The sequence below is a fragment of the Homo sapiens genome, chromosome 2 (assembly GCF_000001405.40).
Source record: "Homo sapiens chromosome 2, GRCh38.p14 Primary Assembly".
NCBI classification, from domain to species: domain Eukaryota; kingdom Metazoa; phylum Chordata; class Mammalia; order Primates; family Hominidae; genus Homo; species Homo sapiens.
In genome coordinates this window covers 150,467,741-150,490,080 of record NC_000002.12, presented here as the reverse complement: position 1 = coordinate 150,490,080, position 22,340 = coordinate 150,467,741, and the positions used below count along the sequence as shown (strand labels likewise).

At 41.3% G+C, this 22,340-nt stretch overlaps 1 protein-coding gene across 2 annotated transcripts, besides 1 other annotated feature; it reads left to right on the top strand.

Annotated features, from left to right (window-relative positions):
* Window positions 1-2,385: 2,385 nt before the first annotated feature.
* RND3 (Rho family GTPase 3) lies at window positions 2,386-21,888 on the top strand. 2 transcript variants are annotated; one of them, NM_005168.5, is made up of 6 exons: window positions 2,414-2,532; window positions 2,626-2,813; window positions 3,300-3,387; window positions 15,097-15,206; window positions 18,320-18,454; window positions 19,843-21,886. In NM_005168.5, exons 2-6 carry the CDS (start codon window positions 2,664-2,666, stop codon window positions 20,092-20,094), a joined length of 735 nt encoding a protein of 244 aa, NP_005159.1. In that variant the 5' UTR covers window positions 2,414-2,532; window positions 2,626-2,663; the 3' UTR covers window positions 20,095-21,886. The 2 variants fall into 2 exon arrangements, with proteins under 2 accessions (NP_001241667.1, NP_005159.1); NM_001254738.1 differs by having other exon boundaries at window positions 2,386-2,813; window positions 19,843-21,888.
* Window positions 11,572-11,866: a silencer, noted in NCBI's record as "tiled region #9612; K562 Repressive non-DNase unmatched - State 24:Quies". NCBI's record gives its function as "represses a minimal TATA promoter and a strong SV40 promoter by Sharpr-MPRA in K562 cells {active_cell/tissue: K562}" and the evidence as "EXISTENCE:reporter gene assay evidence [ECO:0000049][PMID:27701403]".
* Window positions 21,889-22,340: the final 452 nt, after the last annotated feature.

Below are 22,340 nucleotides of genomic sequence, written 5' to 3'. Positions count from 1 at the left end.
GAAGAATGTTTACCCTAGAGGGATTCAAATCCTGGTGACTTCAGGCAGTTGGTTTTTCTACTCTGTTATACATCCATTAAATTTTGCTCAGCAACTGGCAGATTCCTGGAAATTCAGGTCACCTGATTTCCAAAAATAGTCATCCACTATGATTCCAGATGATTCTATGGTGAAGTGATTATGCATCTTGTTTTGCCTGGGATAGACCCTGTTTACCTCTGTTGTCCAGCCACAATCATTGGTAGTGCCCCTTTTGCTCTCAAATCCCAGCTTAGATGATAAATTATGTGGTTACCCTATTCATTGATCAGCCAATTCATAAACATTCTTAATTATTTCTGTTAAAGTGATTTAACCATATAAACTACATCAATTCTGAAATATGGGAGGTCAAATCATATCTCTGGAAAGGGGTAATTTCATTAAGTTAAAAATAAGACAAAAGATAGGATGGACACAGCTCCAATTAGTGAGTCCACCAATGAAGCCAGAATTTCTCAAGACACATTCAACAGTTCTGAAAAGTGCAAATAAGATTTTACATGCAAACTATAACACAGGTCAAGGACTCTTTATTGTGCCAGAAACCATTCTGCAAACGTCACTTGCATTTCCTCATAATTACCATTATGACTCCTATTTTACAGATGATGAAATTGAGGCTCAGAGAGGCTAAATAATCCATCCAAAGTCATACAGAAAATGTGAAGTTGGGGACCCAAATACACCTCTTTGTGATCTCCTGCCCCAACTACTATGCCCATTGCTCTTTAAACAAGTAAACAAACGTGAATAATTTGATTAATGTTTCCTGTGTTAAGTAGTTTTGGGAAATGCTAGGTTAAACTATGTTAAATAGTCTGCTTTTCTCTGGGATTTTTAAATGTTTGTAACATTAGTGTGCTTGGCGAATCTTCAGTGAGTGATGTGGGTACAGTGTCGCCCTCACTAATTGGGCCATGGCACCCTTTGTGTCAGGAGGGAACTAAAGCTCAGAAGAACAAACATTGGCAAAGGCTGCTCTAGGAACCCTAGCAGGGCCAGCAACCCGCTTCTCTGTGGGTCAACCCTCCCCTTGTGTAAACACAGACCCACCGATGGAGTCTGAGTCAATGATCTTTGAGGGGGCTCCAATTTTCTCAGCCCCAAATAGGACATCATTCCTGGATCCCCTAGGCTTCAGGGGCCCTACCAGTCCACTACTTACATCAGTGCTTTTGACAACTCTTCATTGTGCCTTTTCACTTCCCATGTTAAACTTTCTGATTTGTTTGTTTTCACCTTATCTTCTCATTTACAAGCCTAGGAGTCTCCACAGGGGACCATATAAGCTGGTTTTGGCCAGTGTGCTACTACATTGTAACAATTGAAACCTCCTGAGCATTTAGGGTGCAGGAGCTGAAGATGAGAAAAAGAAAGACTTCTCATAGAAAAAGAACAAATGTGCGGGCTATTCTGGTCCTTTCTAAGATTTTTGCTTGCGGGGAAGAGTTGGAGGGCTAGGGAGATGGATGTGGAGGAGGACAGAAGAGAGGGTGGAGGGTTGTATCTGCATTTTTCAGCTAAAGATGTTTGTGCCTTCTGAGTCCAGTCTAGGGTGCTTTGATTCCGGGAAGATGGAGGCTATAGATAAAGAATTAATAGTATCAAAATCTGCCCCCCCACCAGTCCCCTCACTGCAAATGTGGGGAGGTGCAACTAAGCTGACAAGTGTTTGGGTCCCTAGCGCAGTAGGGTTGAGTTTCCAATGGCCTTTGTCACTCAGTCATGGGCATCTTCCACTTCTCTTTCTTCTCCCCTCCCACCTCCTGTACCCACCCCTCGAAACCTTTCTGCCTCCACTTGTACGACTGAAACTGACAGGTTTCAGAAGCCAGTCTACTACCGTGACCCAGGCAAGCCTGTTCTTGCATCTGGAATAAAGAGGCTGATCTATTGGTCCATGGCCTATGTACCTGATACAAACCATTAAAAAAAAAAATAGAACCACTCAACTATTCTCCACCCAAGATTTGCTTCCTATGTTTTATCACTGTCCTTTAACTTGGGTGGGAAATGTTTTTGTTTTCATAAATGCTCATGAGGCTTCTACAGATAAGCCCCTATTAAACTATATTTAAAGGGATTGTAGTTCAAATCAGTATGCACAGATACCAGTTTCCCACCTTGCCCTGTGGACTTGTCAGCAAAGCATCTTTGGGATCTTCATGTTGTCTAAGAGCCTTGGTCTAAAATAGATCCCGAATGGGCACCCTAGAGGGCGCACTGCTTACATTTTCGGCATGCAACGCCAACAGCGCTCGCTCCCAGGCTCCATAAAAGGGGAGGAGGCAGATCAGTTTCCTCCTCTCATTGAGAAAGAAGAGGATTGGAAGGCCGGGCGTATAAAGCCGCGCAGAGAGCGTGAAACAAAGCAGTCGGCTCGGAATTGGACTTGGGAGGCGCGGTGAGGAGTCAGGCTTAAAACTTGTTGGAGGGGAGTAACCAGCCTGCTCCTCTCGCTCTCCTCCTCGTCTGCGCCGCGTTTCAGAGGTTGCCCATCAGCCTTGTGATTTATTTTTATATCTGCTTTTTATAAAGAGAGAAATATATATATATATATATATTTTTTTTTTTCTTCTTAAGAGAAAATTCCTGTTCCAAGAGAAAATAAGGCAACATCAATGAAGGAGAGAAGAGCCAGCCAGAAATTATCCAGCAAATCTATCATGGATCCTAATCAGAACGTGAAATGCAAGATAGTTGTGGTGGGAGACAGTCAGTGTGGAAAAACTGCGCTGCTCCATGTCTTCGCCAAGGACTGCTTCCCCGAGGTGAGTGTGGCCGGCCGCGGCTTCCACGAGGGGGTCGGCCAGTGGGATCCCAGTCCCGAGGTGGGCCTCCCCGCTTTCATCCGTTTTCCCTTAAAAAAAAAAAAAAAGAAAAAAAAAAGTCTTTCTCGGTCCTTACTACTTTCCCCTGATTAGACTGCGGGGAAAGGGAAAGTGCGCTGGAAGCTTTTAGGGTTGGGACGCGCCTGCACATGGGCTGGTTAGCTCCTGAAACTTGTTCGTTCCTGTGTGCATAACCTGGGGTTGGGAGATTCGGGTCAGCAGATCTGTGAGAGCCGGGTGGGGTGAGTGGGGAGTAGGACAGGGGTTTCGGAAAGGGTCCATGTGCTTAGTGTGTGGTCTGATGTGTGAAGGTTTTCTTTCTTAACTGGGGAGCGGGGAGGGGAAGGGTGTTCAATGGGTGTCGTGCGTTTAAACGTAACCTCTTTGCCCTCTTTCCTTCCTCTTTTGCCCATTTTGTCTATCCAGAATTACGTTCCTACAGTGTTTGAGAATTACACGGCCAGTTTTGAAATCGACACACAAAGAATAGAGTTGAGCCTGTGGGACACTTCGGGTAAGAGTGGGAGGACCGCGTGGCGCTTGGGGCGGGTTTCCAGTCGCTGGGGGATGCGCGGCGGGTCTCGGGAAACCGCGCGCTACAAGCCGTCTGCGCCCCTCCCAAGGGATTCCCACGGTCCCTGTTGGGCGAAAATTGTATCCCTTCTGGGTGGGGGCGGCAGACGACAGCGTGGACGAGGAGATAGCAGTGGGGAGAGGAGAGCGCTGTGTGCCCGCAGGGTGACCCCGCGGTTGGAGCCACTAGTGGCCAGGCGCAGTCCGCCCGCGGAGTCGTGGTCAAGTCGCCTTGGGTCGGCCGAGGTGGCCCGATACTGTGGGGTGTTGCATGGGCGCTGCGTGCGCCTCGGCGGAACCACCCGGCTCAAGGCGGGCGCCCCTCCTAGATCTAACCTGCTGGTTGGCGGGGAGGCGGGGAGCGCCGCGGGGGTGATGGGAGGCGGGAGAAAATCCCAGAGGCGACGCGGTTACGTGCAATTGCCGCTGTTGAGGGAAAGAAACTGAGCGCAGGCAGCCGCGGCGCCCGTGACGCCTACACCCAGGAATGCGCTGGTGGCGCAGGGGCCGGGCAGCAGCTGAACCTCCTCTTCGCGCTGCCGGCCGCCCGCGGTGCCTCGGTGCCCACCTGTACCGAGCTTTTCCCTTTTTCCCCCACTCCATCCCAGTGATCACGTCCGTTTCCCCTTCACCACACCAGCCCCTCCTGACCTCTATTGCATCCCCCACTCGGCTTGCCTCCAAGGCCGCGGGCAACACTATTCGCCTTTGACCTTCCAGTCTACTTGAATTATTGGCGCCGCGGTGGGTTATATTCATGGGTCTGAGGTTCAAGGCCGGGTTATTGCTTTCCCATGCGCCCACCCACCTACCTGGCGCGCGGTGGTAGGGAGGGCTAGGTACCCTCCCGGTGGGAAGGCATCCGGCCCCCCGGCTGAGTTAGGGGTTTAGGCCAGGTCAAAGGCCGGGGAGTGGCAGGGGGGCACCATCTGAGGTCTTGGGCTGGGACATAGGCACCCGCCGCCCTAACCAGCGGTGTCTAGCGAGTTTGTTTCCAAGAAGGGTGTCGGCTATGGAAAAGCAGGACCCACTGGGAAGGCTGGGTAAAGGCCCCTGCGCTTAGGGCTGGGAATTTAGCAAGGAGCTGGGTTGCTGGCGGACCGAGCCAAATCCGGGTGAAACTGGCGAGGAGGAACGCGCAAGTGCCAACAAGCAGGTTTGCTGTTAGGCGGGGAGGCCCCGAGGTGGAGCCGCGCCCAGCGGGGAGTGGCCTCGTGGAGGTGTTTCTGTGAGCTTCCCACAGAACCGCTGGGCTTGAACCGCTGGAGCCCCCGAGGGACGCGGGGGTTCAGAGAGCAAGAGGAAGGAACCAGACTGACAGGGTCGCCAGAGGCAGTCCCAGCACAAAGGCAAGCGAGAAGTCTCGCACGAGCGAGCGCCTCTCATGGTCGGTGCCAGATGCTCCGACTGCTGCAGTGAGAAGGGCTGATTTTGTTTCCCCCTGGAGTCAGGCTCTTTCTCAGCCGTTCCAAGGGCAGCAGAATCAGGACTTTGCCGCCGTGTTTTCTGTTGGGGATGGTACACAGACTCGAAACTCTGGAGAAGGTGTTGGTAGACAGAATTCAAGTGGTTCCTTATTTCAGTAGTTCCTATCAGAATTATTTTACAGCCTGGTACTTAATGGGCTCTGATTCCCAGACATATCATGGTATGTATTTGTTATGCCTACTGGATGGCACAGCTGGTGTGGTACCGATAATAAGCACCAGTACTCCCTGCCCCAACCGGCAGCCCTGTTTGGACCTAATGCACGATAAAAATTATTTTGGCACGGGGTGGAGCAGTGTGTCTGAACCAGTCGTTGATACAAAGCTGTGTTTAGATCTTAGCTCCTGGTTACCATGGATTTCTGTGTGCAAATCCCCTATCTCCCTGGGTCTCATTTTCATCATCTGTAAAAAGAGGACACTGAGCTAGATGATGTGCAGGATCTCTCCCAGCTGTACACTTCTTGGCTTTATTACGCTGGACAGGCAGGTCTTTTTGTTTCCCAGGATGTTGGTTGGCTTCAGCTCTTAGTCTTAGGGGATCTGGCATCCCGTGCTGGGGTTTTCACAGCCTGCAAAGCAAGCCAGGTTCTGGGCAGAGCCAGGCTTCCTGGTGGATTTAGGAATGAAACCCATCTGGACAGGGAGGGGGAATGGGTGGGCTTATAGGAATGCTGGGCTATACATTTCCTATCTCAAGCTTCAAGAGTGACAGGACCACCAATGGATATTTCGGAATAGATGCCTAAAGGGCTAAATTGATTCTTTTAGGGGAGAAAAGGCACATTGTTTGATAAAGGCTAGAACATAAACCAAAATGTGGGCAGTTTGTAGTTGGAGGCTGTCCTTCGTATGTGCAGGTAAATACCACTTCAGGTATCTTCATGCATTTAATCAAAACTCTGCAGTTCGTAGACTCTGCACACATAGCACAATGCCTTGCATACAGCAGTTATCCAATAAAATCTGATGAATGAGTAAATGAGTAATGATATGCATAGTTGCCAAGGAGATGAGGTTCCCTGACATTTATTCACACTGAATTACCTGTGCACAAAGAATGGCAACTTTATAAACATTGCCTTTCATCGAATTAAAGATAATCATCTGAAATGAATTTGTAGTGAAATAATCACTTGTCTTTTTATTTAATGAAACCAAAACTTATGTATGTTTAACTAAAATATAAAGGTTTGAAAATGTGATGAAGAAAATTTTGTACTGCAAAATTATCCGGTAATGAAATCTTAGTTAGAATTTAGATTTAAACAAATGGAAAAAAGAGGCATAAGGGAATTATTTAGAATTCCATTATGTTGTTCATGAGGTGAAATGTTAGTTAGTTAAACACAGTCACCAAGCACTGCTTACTTAAATTCTAAGAATAGCCTGTTTCCATCAAAAGTGATTTGTTGTTTATATCTAGCAGGAACCATTGAATCAGCAACTAATTATTTCAAGGATCTTTAACATTTTTCCATTTAATTCCAAGCTTTTCATGGCAAATTTCTGGACAGGACTATTTTTTGGTAAATGTTTGACATTTTCTTTGCCCACTAAAACATTTATTTAGTTCAGATTGTAAAAATAATTGCATATGCCTTATGCCTCTTGATACATTTATTTTTTCCAAAGGCCATCAATATAACTCTGGAGAAAAGATCCCAGCCAAGTCTGTAAAGTTCTAAATGTCAGATAAATTGCACTTTTTATTTCCCTCCTAGAACTTTGTGAAAGAGACTTATATAGGAAAAATTGGGTGTGCCTGACTGCTCTTATATAGGGAGAGATACGGGATGAACATTGTCCTTTGAATGATATTTCCTGTCCTGTTTACCCTCCTAGCAGAAGGGCAACCATTTAGAAGACAGAAACAGTTCCTCTCTTATCTGGCCTCTTTAGTTGGACAGCTTCTCATAAGGGGTCTACTTTTGCCCCCAGCAGTCATGATCATGCATAGGCAAACTCTGCCAATTTGGATGTGAGAAAGACTACCAAGTGAAAGTAGGATATGTGAAGTCTCTTTGCACCAAGAAAAAAAAATAATTTCCTGCTTTTTAAGGCACAGTAACTTAATATTTCCTTCCTTTCTCCCTTTCTCCATCCATCTCTTCCTTTTTTCCCGCATCCACTATAAACAGGCCCTCTGTCAAGACCTTAGAGATACAGTGTTAATTAAGCATGGTCCTGCTCCTAAGAAGCAGACAGTTCAGGTGGGGTAATGGAGAAAAAGAAGCTCTTCTGGTTTAGCGTGTATTTCATTAACAACTCATGATGCACCTAATTTTGTCAGGTCCTTGAACCCCAGTGCCCTTTTCCACTTGGTTGCAATGTTTTTCCTTTGTCAGACATCCTAGGGCTTATAGATCCTCTGGATCCTCTTCAGATAGGAAACAGCTACCCCCGCACCGCCCCCCCCACCCCCGCCCATTGCACACACCAGTTAAAGCAACTACAAAAGGCATTTTGCCAGTCAATTCTTAGGGCTACAGTACTCCAGCCCCCCCAACAAAAGTAAACAAAACCTTTGTAAAAATGCTGTAGGAATCATCTAAAAGAGGGAATTTTTAAGGCCCATAACTTCTTCATTTTCCTAAAAAATATTTTTCATTATAAAATGAACATTCTTAATAGTTGCAGAAATGCTCCCATTGATTTTCAAATTTCACCCAATGAGTTTCTGCCAAACAATGGGTAATAGTTTCAATTGTGAAGTAATAAGTAAGACCAAAGTAATTCTAATATCTTGTGCTTCAAAATTGGCCACATTTGCCAAGCATAGAAGTAATTTGTAGCATGAAGCCAAATGCCTACTAATAATAGAAATGTAGTCATTTAAGGATCACTGTATCTTTTCCTAAGAGATTTGATTGCAGTGTAATTTCAGCACATGTGATTTAGGGAGTAATAATCATTCATTCCAGCTTTTTAACCAAGGCAAGTTAATGCACATTTTATTTAAGGCTTATTATTACTTTTAACATATTCAATTCAGCTGCTAAATTCCCCACAATAACTATGCTATTGCCTCATGAACACTCTTTCGAATCTTGTCATGATCCAAGTTTCTTTTAAGCCCTGAGTGCTAAAGTTAGTACTTCCTATTTTAGTTTTTAGCATTACTAACACTTAAGGTGGTATCCTTTATTTCTTAGAGAAAAAGAGAGGAAAAATATCTTAGTTACCTAATGGCCTTAATATGAGGACAAACTTCTCTATAAACAGAAGTCTATCTAAGCTGTTATATTTAGATTATTGTACATCAAGTATGAAGAATGGTCTTGGTGACAAGCTCTCTAATGAAATATTTCTTAACAGGGATGGAAATGGTTCAGCAGTATTGGAGATTAGTATATAATTAATCCAGAAAAGCAGCTTAAAAGGGGATCACTGCTCTCTCTCTCCCCCTCCCCTTTTTTTTTGGTGATTTAGCATATAAATGAACACATCTAGACAAGACATAAAAATGATTATAAAACCAGTAAACATGGTTTAGTGCTTTCTGTGTGCATACAATCTGCTAGATGCTATGGGAGGAGTACAGAGCTGGGTGAGAGCAGCTTCTGCCCTTAGGTACTCACAGTTTCACCATGTGATAAGACAGACATGGTGAAAACATGAGTGACAATAAAATTTAAAATATTCAGGCTTTCCCAAACTAACAAAAGAAATCAAATGAGAAGCCCGGATTAAGTGTCAGGTGTTTAGGTGAGAGGAGATGCCAGTAGACTGAGATTTGAACAGGGTAAAGACATCCTTCTTCCCTGACAACCTTCTTTGAATACCCACAGGACAAACAGAGGACATAGAAAGACTTCCTCCTGTCTAGTGCTGTAATACCTGTTTATAGGATGGTGAGCCCGGAGGTTCTAAACCTGGATTTTTCAAGGAGCAACAAGATCCAAAGAGTTCTTGAAGGCCACAAGGGCAGCCCAGGCTCCCTAACTCATGACTTAATGGTCATTGAGGCCCACCACAATTCCCTTCCTTTCTAGAAGTTGACTAAGTTCTAAGAAGTTTTTAACGTTTCTTCCACGTGGAAACTCGCTTACATTTAGTGGCTCTCAGATAAAACAAGATTCTGGAAGCTGAGAATTATAACTTAAATTAACGTTCTTGGAGAAAGGAAGAGGTTAAGAATTTATGAAGGAGCCAGAGAAGCATGGATGCTTGGGATTTGAATATCAACTGTGAAATTGCAGGAAACCAAGCATTTCATCAGGTAGTAATGATCCATTGGAGCTTAGGGTTTCAAAACTAGGTTTAATTCTTAACGAGTTTTCACACTGAAACTCTTATGTAAAAGACCTGGGTTAAGGTAAAACAGATAGTTTGTATGGTGGTTTCCAATAAGCAGTACATAAAACTGCATTTGGAGATTTGTCCACCATGCAGTAATTTCCATTTAAACCAAGGAACCTCCTAAAAAGGGGAGGGGGCAGTATGAATGCTCTTTCTAAGTCTACATCTGTCTGTAGATTTTTTTTTTTTAGCCGCATTTAGTGCTGTTTTTTTTCCAATCTGGTTTCTTGCTAAGTTGCACATTTCAATGAAGCATCCAAATTGGTCATTCTGATAACACCCGAAATAACCAGATGTTTCCTCATTAATCCAGTTCTTTTGCATGTAAATATGACACCAAGAACCAATACTTTCTCCAGTTAGCTCATGGTGCCTGGCGGGCTCTGCCAAATGAATTAGTCGTGGCTCAGTCATTTTCTGATGTCCTTTAAATGACTTCTCAGTTGCTACATATTGGTCACTTTCTCAGAGTCTCCCTTGGCAAAGCAAACATTTTATTGACACGGAATGTAGTTGACGCAGAAGTTTGACCAGGTGTTGTGCACATTGGTTTTGAAAAATGAGCCTGATGACATAGTTTGTGGAAAGATGAATTCACTCATGGGATTCTACTCCAAGAAATCTGATTCTTAGATATCATATGAAACAAAAACTTGAATCCATTATCCCTATTTACTTTTAGGCATATTCATATACATATACTCTTTTCCCTAAAGCTCTTGACTTAACCATGGTTCCACTGTCAGTAAAATATTTTGATTCTTACATATTTTTAAGTACCTCAATAAGATTAGGAGTTTAAAGCTAAACTTTATTTAAAGGCCAAACATATCTACCTGTCTGACTTTCTAATTTTGTATCTACATTGCCCCCAGAAATAGAAAATCTTTATTCCATTTTAATAGCAACACATAAATGCCCACAAAATTTTATAAGATCTGTTCATAGTTCCTATTACCTGAATCCATGGAAGAAACAAACATATTCTTCCTGGGAGTGTTTGTTGCATATTTGCAGGCATGGTATTTGTTGTGCAGACTACTTGAAACAAGAACTAAACAGTCTTACACTGAGTCAGATACAAAAGTTCTGCCCAGACTTGATTCACATTCTTGAGATTGCTGCTAATTTAAACCTTTTCCTCTGATTAGAGATGGCATGAGGAAATGCAATCTTGTAATAATTGGGCAGATCATGCCCTCTCACATGTTAGCTGCTGCTGCGTTCAGATGTGCTCATGGTGGTCACTAAATATACCAAAAGTTAATCTACTTTTCTCTGCCAAAAATATGCAATAGCTTTAGCTTACTCTTCTTGGTAAAAATTTCTTAAGGGGGAAAGGGAAGCTTTTCAGATGAAGGTTCAAGTTAAATAAATTATATTTATGAAATATTCAACAAGAAGAGTTTTCAGTTCTCCAACTCCTCTAAAGCCTCACAGTGTTTAAACTGGTACTTTGCAAAAGGTTCCATAAAGCCTTCCTTTTGGGCATGAATCTTCTTACATATACATTTAATTATGTACATATATGGTGTGTTCTATATTTGCGAAAGGGTGACTTCAGCAGGCAGGTATGTGTCTGAAGAATTAGTTTCTGGGTGAGGCACGTTGTGACTATTCTTTGGCTGGAAATTTTGCTCTCACCCAGAATTAATGATCTTGAATACAAAGATGGGTAGATCTGAAATTTCAAAAGCTCTCTAGAACTTTGCTGATGTTTGCCAAACTTGAGCAACTCAGAGAACCCCAAGTGTACACTTGTTCCAATCTACCCCCAGCAAAGCCTTTCAACTATATTTTCTGGGTGAGCGGGGTACACATTTTGCATATATAGTGTAGTTGTTTCTTTACAATATAGAGTTTCCCTAAGTTTTTCCTTCAGAGGTGTGGCAGGTTACTTAAAAAGGACCTTGGAATAGGGTTGCGAGCTTAAAAGTTTCATATAGTACCAGAGAAATGCTGCATCTGAGAATTTCCATATGCATGAAGCCTATTCCACATGCTGAAAAAGAGTTTCATTTGACAAGCCAAACGCAGTCCCTAAATGTTATTGGACTTTAGTGCATTCTTAGGTACTAGAGCACATACTCTGTGTATATCAATACCTACCATGTACTGCAGTTAAAGTTGAATACTTTCATACTTAGTAAAAATTGTTGAGCCCTCCTGCTTGTGCTGTGTTTAGTTCTACAGTTAGCACCTTGGGAGTTTTTCATGTGCATCTTTTAAAAACACCTATAGAAGTTAATTTTTTTTTTTTTTTTTTGCCGTTTGGCTTCACAGGGTGTTGTAAGACTTTTCTGGAGGGATATAGGAGTTAGGGGCAGGTATTGTTCCTGCTTTACCCACTTACTTTCAGCTCCTTCCTTTGGTGTCATTTCTGCCCCTCTTTATTGCTTCTCACTTCACAGAGTCATTTCTGGAATTCCTCTTCCTTTTTTTTTGGCATGCGTTGTCTCACGCATACCTGTGATTCCACCGTGCCCTCTCCAGCTTTGCTTGCCTTACTTCCTTTGTGCAGTCTCTTGGGCTTTATGGGGAAGAAAAGGAAGGATTCCAAGTGCTTAAACACAGAGTAAACACTGTAAAGTTACACAGGAGGTGTTTTTGTGTGTGAGTGTTTTTGTTTTTTGTTTTGCTTTGTTTTTTTTTTTATCCTGAAAGTCCTGCTGAGCTGATGACTTACATCTTTCCTGGTGGGACAGTTCTTGATAATTCTATATCAATATTTTTCACTGTGAATAAATAGAGACAATAGATATTTCTATCTAAGACAAGATAAACTTAACCTATCAAAAATATAGTGAATAAATGGTCTTGTTATTTTAAATAAATTACTCTTGTCATTGGCAGTCAAATTATGCTTATAACTAAGAAATATGGGAATCAGTTTTACTATTACCTTTGGACACTCGTGTTGATCTAAAAGCAGCACTGTTCATTAGCAAAAGTAATAGAATGGGATCAAAGTGTCATCCCTAATTAGATCATGTTAAACCTCTTAAAAATTACCTGTCTACCTCCACAAGCACGGTGGTTTATTTCTCATAAACCTTTGCACTACATATGTATTTTCACTTATACTGTTAACCGGATAAAAACAAAAGCAGATACAAACTTCCCTGAAAATCTGGTTTAACTGGAGAACTCCGTTTCATTTTAAAATCAGGCCAGAGTCTAAATTTTGCAGATATTTAGATATATGCACTAAGCACAGAAGCCAGCCCACTTGATTTTAGTAGGTAGCAGTCTCCAGCAGGTGACTCAGGGCTGAGCACAAAGCCAGATCTCCTTTGTGGCCATAAAATGGGTGGGGGACGGGAAACATAGTCCACAAAGGGGGGAGGGGTATTCCCAGCAGTCATGTGGTGGCCTGAATGTTGAAACCATTCCTCAGGATTTTCCTGGCAGTCTCAATTTTAATTAAACTCTTTTATCCTCTTTGTATTTCTTCAATCGCTTTTCCTAATTTTTTTATTTGGAAAAGATGGTCTCCATTGTCATAGAGCAGTATTACATCTGGAATTAGCAGTGAGTACTCTAACATCATACAAATCGTATCCTGAAAGGAGCTGGTAGGCACCTGGAACAGTTCTCTAAAGATACCAGGTCTGCTTGTACTGGAAGCTCTCCACAGGGAGAGAGTGGTTTTTCCTAATGTGAGTGATTTCTGGGAAAGGAGATCTCTGAAGCCTCGTTAGGTTTCTGACAATCCTAACTGTTGGCAGCTTTGCCTTCCTGGGTCTGGGATCAGGTTGTCTCTCGCGGACTTTGAGGAGTAGAGGAAACTCTCATTTATATGTCCAGTATTTGGAGCTCCACTCTATGATCTAGAATTTTCTGACTGCCTGTTTGGAAAGAGTCATTCAAATGTTTACAGCAGGTGCCGTGCTAGAGTTAGACTTTGGACACAGAAACAGGAAAGGTTCTAGTTGAGAAAGTGTGAACTTCTTAGAACTAATATGGAAATACTAATGTAGCCATAAATAGTGTTCAACCATCTCGTTTCTGATGCCTTTCGAATGTTCAAATGGGTGAACTATTTGTGAATTATTCTCTTCACCTCAGAGTACTTTCAGCGACTGAAAAGGCAGCCACAGCTTGTCATTTTCAGAGACGGCCTCATTCTAATATACCTTCATACTTAAAATGACTTGACTTTTTAAACTCTAAACGCTTTAAGCTTCTGGGAAATATCTTTCAGCTGTCAGCCTCTGCTCTACCAGGGTCCTGGTTCCAGATGTGGGTAGGCAGCTGCTGCAGCTCATGAACAGCTCTGACTTAATTCTCTATTTATTCACACTTTTCTTCCTGATTCTTGTAACATTCTTTTCTTCCTTGCTTAGCAGACACACGTGGCTTGAAGTTGTCACTCTCCATCGTAAAGGAGCTAGAGAAAAAGCTGCACTGTTGCCTGGGGTTCCATAGCAGATGCCAGGGACCCAGAGTGTACTGTGTGAATAGAGGGCGATGCCCCCTGACTATAGTGCCTTTTAGATCACAAGAACAGCCTCCAAGCAAATGTTGTTTTGATAGAAATATAAACAGTGACATTTTTTCTAAAGCTGCTTTTTAAGTCTCTCTTCCTGACTTTGCCTATTGAGGTTTTGATTTATCAAGGGACAACATGTCCTGTTTTTCTGCTCAAAATGGAAAGTGATGTCAAAATGAAATAGACTTTTAAAAAGAGTTTGGTGGTTTAGATTTTCTTTTTCTACTCTGGAGTCAGATACATACGTGTGTATATATTTGCCTAGTAAAATCATTTTCATGTGATGCTTGTGAAATGTCAGCATACGGAAAATGATTTCTTAAACAAGCGGCATTTGGCAGGCTGTATTTAGTTTTCTAGTCAATCATTTCATAACTATAGGCCTCATGTAATTGCCCATCCTTTGGAATTCTTAAAGAAATAGAAGAAACTTCCTTGATTGACTAGAGAGTTCTGTGGTTAAATTAATTGGCTGGTGCCTTGAACCTTTAGGGTACCCTGGACTTAATTCAGGTTAAGATCCTTAGATCATGCCTCAGTGTCACTCTCAGAGATGGGACTCTGTAAAAAAGCGACATGATCCTATACGACATTTATTACATTCTTGATTGTAACAGGAAGAAAATCTATATAGGGTTTGGCGATAAGTTAAAATAAGCAAGCTCAAAGGTCAATGGCCTATGTAAACTTACATCTTGGAGATGGGTAACACTGATGTGGTTTCTCTTTGCATAGTTGAACCCTTCCTCTTCCTCTCTCCCTCATTCACCCCTATCCTGCTGTCAGAATTGATCTTGAGTTTTGGTCTCTTTCCCAAGAAGTAGTTCAGTTTATGGTTCTTGCTACCACTCAGCTTTTAACAGCAGTAATACAACCATAATGCCCATAGTTAATACGTATTGATCCCTTACTAAAAGCCAGGCCCTGCCTGGGTTTACTTAATCTCAGGTATGTATGTTGTCAGCATCTTCATTTTATGAGTGAAGAATCAGAGGCACAGGGTCCTAAAGCTACCTTGCCCCCTCCCTTTTTAGTGGTGGAGGCAGGTTTACACACAAGACCACCTGGCCCCAGGTGCTTCCCTACTTCACCCAGGTAACTTCAGGCCCTAGTCTTTGAACCATACAGATTTCACTTAAGATCCTGGCCCTCTTCTTGAATTTATGTCAGACACATGTGAGGCTTCATTCATCATATATTTCTAAGCAGGCTTTTGTGTGTCTGTTTGAATTCTTTTCCAAGAATTAGGGGAAGTGGGAGTTGGGTCGTGATGTGACAGTCAAAGGACTTAGCCGGAAAGGGTAGAGTTAATGCATGACAGACAAGGGGACTCTCATCTGAAAATTTGTGTGTCTTTGTTTCTTCTCAGGTTCTCCTTACTATGACAATGTCCGCCCCCTCTCTTACCCTGATTCGGATGCTGTGCTGATTTGCTTTGACATCAGTAGACCAGAGACCCTGGACAGTGTCCTCAAAAAGGCAAGTGCTGGGAAATGATGACACACTTCAGTACTGGGTGATGTATAAATAGAAACGTGGGGTTTGTTGGGAAGCTCAAAGACTCTAATCAATTCCCTGCCTTACAATTTGTAATTAAACACTAGAAAGAACCCTTTCACACCAAAATGGGGTTTCCACTTTTTGATGATGAACTTGCTTGAAATTTTATTTCATGAAGCTCTGAAACAAAATACCTTTTAAGGGCCTTCATGTTTGTCCTTTGGGAGAAAAATGGTACAGCTAACAACAGTTATATTTGATTACTATCATATTCATGTGTTCCTTCCTTCTTTCAGTGACTCAACAGATTGCATCTTAGTTTACAGATTTACATTTGACCTCAAGTCAGATAGTGAAAGGAATGCAATAATGGCTATTTTAACAAAGAAGCTGTGTTTTAGTTATGGTGTTATTAGAAACAGAAATGGAACTAGTGTAGGAGGAATAGGGATGTGTCCAATGTGAATTGTCTGATGATCAGGTATCTGTCTAGTAATTATGACCAGGTATCTTTCTAGTAATATGGAAGCAGTGCTTGTAAACATGTTATATATTATAATGTACACATAGTTTATGGAGGCAAAGGTAAGTCAGGTTCCGTAGGAACCTAACTAAGGAAGCTATGGTTGGAAGGAACCAGGGGGAGATCAAGAGGAAGAGGACCTATTACAGGATGGGTCACAGGAACTAGGGAGGCCAGTGGGAGGAAGGGGCGTTTCTTGACCTTCAGCAGTTGAGACTCAGCCTCCAGGTAGTTGTAGAAGGCACATGCCGTGTTAGTCCATGGATCAGCATTTATTAGCCACTAGCTATTTTCTCAGCCCTGGCCTGTGTGCTGTGGGGTTTCAGAATCAGATCCTTGTTGGAGCACTCCCTCTCCTCCACACACTGGCTTCAACACCGGATGTGGCTGAGAGCAAGGCAGTGTCAACTGAGGGGTGACCCATGCAGCCCAGTCTGAGTATGGTATGGATTGAGAAAGACAAACATGCAGGTGTGGCTAGGTTGGTTTTGTTTTTTTCATTTTAATTTTTAGTGGAATTTATTTGTATTTTGTGTGTTTTTATTAGTTTACATTCCCCTATTATATTTGATTGCTTGGCTTGTGTGTCATTGTGAAATCAGGATTTGAAGTATAATAATCCTTCTGTCTCTACTAAATATTACAAACAGAGTTCAATAAAACTCTTAGTAGATCTCTTTCTTAATAGATCAAAGACTCTTTTTTCCTTTTTAGCTCCTTTCAATTTTGAGTAATACATATCTAACACAAATAATGCTAATGCTTGTCAAATCCAGGCAGGAATACACCTTTCCTGTCTTTAATGCTTGTAAACAATTGCTAGACATGCAGAGGGAGGCCAAAGTCATTACACAGCTGAAGAGCAACATAACAACATGTCTAGTTCTGTCTGGAGATAAAAGGGGTTGCTTATTTACTAGAGATTTTACTTGATGTAGTATCAGGCTATGCATAATTTATGATGAAAAGCCTTTCTCCTGTTTTATTTTGCTTTTGTCTTCTAAGACCAAATGAATAGTGACTTTGGGCTTATAGATATTAATGAGTATGTTTTACATTCCTGTGAGGTTTAAGGCTCATGATAACCCCTGCGGTTTGTCTTGATTAATGGAACCCTTTAAGTCCTTCACTATCAAAGAGGAGGTTAGAATGACTTGAAGTAGGGAGGATTTCTTTTTTTTTTTTTTCCAGTTCACCTTCCACTTCTAATGCCAGTGCCACCTAGCATGTGGTAGGTGTTCCTACATAATTCTGAAAGGAGTGAGGGAGAGAGGGAGAGAGGAAGGGAGGGAGGAAAGAAGGAAAGAAGGAAGGAAGGAAGGGAGGGAGGGAGGGAGGAAGGGAGGAATAAGTGGACAAAATGGGCTCTTATGGAAAGTATATTACTCCTTTGAATCCTCTGGTGTAGTTTGCACTAGAGTTCGTTACCCAAAGTACACCCCTAGATTTGGAGATGTCTCCTCTAGTGATCTTTTAAGTTATTCTTGCAGGATGTCCCTCTTATCTAGTGTTATACTTAATACATGACTTCATCACCCCCAGTATTCTGTGAATTTCCTTCCAGAAGACACAGCTATGTCTTAGTCATCATTGTCACTGCCACAGTACTTAGTAGAACACTTACATATTTGTGAATGTGGGTGGGAAGAGTCAGGCGCCACTTCCCCATCTCAGCCTCTCTAGGCCCTGCCCTCAAAGGCCAAAGATCTCCTGTGACCGCCCTGAACTCTTGACTCCCATGCTGTTGCAGAGCTCAAGCTTGAGGAAATGAAGCCACAAAAAGCTGCTTGCTTGTTCTTAAAGAGGACAGTTGGAATTCCAAGCCAGGCATTGCTGAAGGTTCTAATAATTCTTGTTAGATCATGAAACAACTAGACAAATTGGAATAGATTGAAATAGTTTTAAACTAACTTGAAGGCATATGAGCTACAGGACCAGCTGCCTTCCCGATGACCCAAGAGATGTTCCTTTGCAAATGTCATGGTCTGTGTTGATGCAACCATGTGAACAGAAACTCCTTCAAGGCAGGATGTTCTGTTTTATTAACTATCTCAGGTACTTAAAATAGAGCCTCAGCTCGTGGTGGCATGCTTCAGTGTTTCATGATGGGATCAGGGAATGCATACTTGTGCTAGTGTTGCCTCTGCCTTATCCCCAGCCTTCTAGTGAAGGAGGATCAGATCCACACATCGAAGGATGTGGTCACTTGTTAGGATATATAATTATTCTTAAGACACATTTATCTTTAAGAGACACACCAATAATTAAGACATTATTGAAGCTACCTTTGGACAACATCTACCAAGTCTCTTTCAGTAGCAACAGATGAGTCACAGAGAGGGAGAATCAATCATAATATACATAATTATTCTCTAATGCTTAAAAAGTAGTAAAACTTCACATCTGTTCAGGAGATAAATGCAAAGTTTGCTTCTTCATCTCAAGGGACACTCCATTTTTAACATCTTTTCTGAGTTTCATTCTAATGTCAGCCAGTGGAGAAATGGTTTTCATGATATGGATACCGTTACTTTGTTCATTTTTAATCTTTTTTTTTTTTCTTTCATAGTGGAAAGGTGAAATCCAGGAATTTTGTCCAAATACCAAAATGCTCTTGGTCGGCTGCAAGTCTGATCTGCGGACAGATGTTAGTACATTAGTAGAGCTCTCCAATCACAGGCAGACGCCAGTGTCCTATGACCAGGTATGTATGTTGCCCATGTGCAAAACTGGATTTTAGAAAGAGTGAAAGAAATGGACTATCACTCATAATAAATAAAATAAAAAGTAGCTGCTTTTCTAAAGGCTCACCCAGTGGTCAGTTGTGAAATTTAAAATGCTGTCATTTATTAGTGTAATTACATGATATTCGGGTACATAAACAGTTGATATGCTAACCTTGTATATTTCTGCACCTCCCAGTAGGTTTAAAGTTAAATAGGTTTAAGAGAGAATGTGGTCAAAATCAGTAATACTCTTTAAGAGGGGTAATCTGATTTTACAGTCGGCAGTACAATAATAAGGCTGTTGCCAGTAAAGTGGAACACTCCATAACACCATCTTTCAGAGAGTCTTCATTTCTGTAAGCATTTCCCCCAAGTATTTAGAAATGAGAATCAGTTTCAAAAGCTCATTCTCATAAAACCTACAACCAGATTCTAAAGAGAGTTCATGTTGAAATACCAAAATTTTATTAAGAATCATCATTTTAAATACCGCAGTCTTCTTAGTCTTCCATTTCTCATTAGCAAAAAATTTGGTATTTTAAATAAGTAGTTTTGGTTAATGTGCACATGCTTATTGTTGTGTACGTTGGTGGTATGGTTCACACTTAGAAATTACATATGTTGTGTTTCATAAAGTAACAGATGTTACAATAGTATTATTCCTTTCCTCAACGCATTTCGGCCCTAAGTAAGACACAATCACATACATTTCAAAATCGATTTTAAATTTCATTCATTGCCCCTGTTTTTGGTACAACCTAGTCACTAGTCTTGAATGCCATTTACCCTCAAGAAAAGAGAAATGAAGTGCACCATGAGGCGCTGGAACAGGTTCTCAAGGCCACATCGCCACGGCCAGAGCTGTGTGGAAAATGCAGAGTTTATGTTCATGACCTTCAGCTAACTTACTTCACTAGTAAGCTTCTCTGCGCCATTCCATGCTTGCTGTGACCCTGGAAAACCTGAATAACCAGTTAACTCTTGCTTGCAGTTGATAGTGAAGATGAATCACTTCGTTAGCTCCACTCTACACTTCTTTGAATCACCTCATGTTAAGTGTTTGATAACCAGGGTCTTCCTTTGTTAAGATCAGCCTTTAGCATTTATTCAGAGCTCTAACACCTCTAATGAGCCATGAGAGTTGGGCATCTTAGGGATGGGCTCTGGACTGCAAATAGTTATGAAGTAATAAATAAGGCAGTTTACATTTTAACAACTTTTTTTTTTTGCAATGACACTTGGAAAATTCAGTTAACATATCAGCAAACGTTTTGCAATGTGTTATTATTTTGTGGTATTAGAAGATGCTAGCTAACTTTCCCCCAAAGTCTTATTGCTGGTTAAAATCCCTTCTTTTGCTTCTCAGGGGGCAAATATGGCCAAACAGATTGGAGCAGCTACTTATATCGAATGCTCAGCTTTACAGTCGGAAAATAGCGTCAGAGACATTTTTCACGTTGCCACCTTGGCATGTGTAAATAAGACAAATAAAAACGTTAAGCGGAACAAATCACAGAGAGCCACAAAGCGGATTTCACACATGCCTAGCAGACCAGAACTCTCGGCAGTTGCTACGGACTTACGAAAGGACAAAGCGAAGAGCTGCACTGTGATGTGAATCTTTCATTATCTTTAATGAAGACAAAGGAATCTAGTGTAAAAAACAACAGCAAACAAAAAGGTGAAGTCTAAATGAAGTGCACAGCCAAAGTCATGTATACCAGAGGCTTAGGAGGCGTTTGAGAGGATACTCATCTTTTTGGAATCCTGACCTTAGGTTCGGCATGTAGACCAAGTGATGAGAAGTGAATACATGGAAGAGTTTTTAAGTGTGACTTGAAAAATATGCCAAAAAATGAGAGATACAAATGAGCTAGAGGAAGATGAGGGGGGATGCGAGTACCTCCAAGAAGAAAAATCACACTCTGAATGGTGCTTGCATTTTTGGGTTTTTTTTTTTTGTTATAATCTATTCATGGATCTCCACTTTGATTTAATTTTTAAATGTTTTAATCTCCTTTACAAAAAGTATACGTTAATATACCGTCCTCAAGGGGGAACTGGCACTGTGACCTTAGCATTTAGTTTTCTAGAGGATGTGATCTAATTTCTTTCTAGCTCATCATTAAAAAGGAAATTGTATCAGGACCCATGGGATATATCCAGAGGCAAACTTTATGAGGCTTTGAAATCTTGCCTTCCTGAAGATAGCTGAGTAGGATGGTTCTAAGGAAAGCCTTTGCAATCTTGCAAGATTTGTAGACCAGCACTACAAAGATCGCATAGATCAAATAGGAAAAAAAATGTCGATTTTTATTCAGTCTGATGGTTCTGTTCTTCATTGTGATTGTCATTAAAAAGTGGTAAATTGCTCAATGTAATATTTTTGTGCGCTGTTTAGAAGTTGTGTGATTTTTTGCCATCGTTGATAAAAATGCAAAGTCAAATAAAAGGTGTCTTGGTTTGATGTCATAGAATGATCCAAGGAGAGAAAAAAGGTAGTTACTGTTTTCACCAGAAAAGGTAATGAGTGAAGGAAAGAATAGTAGCAGAAAGCACAGTTTGTGAGTAAAGCTGTCTGGAATTAAGTTACCAAAAATACAAAGCAAAAGGACTATTATTTTGGGTTGAAGCTCCAAAACTGACAGCATCTGATAATCTGTTGGTTTATTTCACTTTTCATTAAATGAACATTGATGAGAGAAGATGCCACTTACCCAAGCTTTAGAGAATCCCTAGTGGAAGATTATATGATAAACTTTCAGTCCTGACATAACACTAGGGCATTTCTAGAGTGTCATTGCTAAAACCTCACTGAACAGATGCAGCCAAGGTCTGTGTTCAGCACTTGGTCTCTGTTGTTACGTAAAATAATAAGCATTTAAAATAGTTTACAGATATTTTTGACCAGTTCCTTTTAGAGATTCTTTCAGAGAAGAAACCAGATCTGACCTGTTTATTGTTGGCGCTTGTTGAAAACGAGCTTTCTTTCCCATGATAGTGCTTCGTTTTTGAAGTGTTGAAGCTGTGCTCCCCTTAAATCGTGGCAGGAGAGATTAAGGTAATTACAACACTCAGTTCTATGTCTTACAAGCACTTTGTCTTGTCTCTGCAAGAAAATTCGATTCCAGTCATTTCCCATAAAATACAGACATTTTACCAACATAATATGCTTTGATTGATGCAGCATTATGCTTTGGGCAGTATTACAAAATAGCTGGCGAGTGCTTTCTGTATTTAAATATTGTAAAAAGAAAATAAGTTATAACTGTTATAAAGCAGAACTTTTGTTGCATTTTTTAAACTGTTGAAGTCACTGTGTATGTTTGTTTGGTCAATGTTTCCGCAGTATTTATTAAAACATACTTTTTTTTTCTTCAAATAAAAAAGTAACCATGTCTTTGTCTAAATGTGATCTGTCTTTTATTATCTACTTCCTGATTTAGCTGTTTAGCTTTGTTCTTTAACATAGGTGATTACAGAATCTGGCCTAACGTTTTCTGAACTAGAAGGCTTTGGAATTTTTTGATTCTTCATAGTAGTAACAGATAAACCTGCATATATAAAAGTTTTCATGATGCTTTCAAATCACAAGAAAAAAATGGGGCATAATTAGATTAAGTGATTTGATCATATACAAAAAAGAGCTATGATACTGCCTAAGATTAACTTGTAGAAAAGATGGAAATCCTTCAAGTCTTTAAGAATGAAGCAATATGATGCAGTCTCAAGTCACAGGTTTAATACTAATATAAGCCTAGTTTGCCTCTCTGCCCTGTGGGGTCCTAAGCCTTGGTCCTTAACCCATGCCACCTCGCAAGGCATGCCCTTGTTCACAGCAGTTGTGGGGATGACCCAGAACAC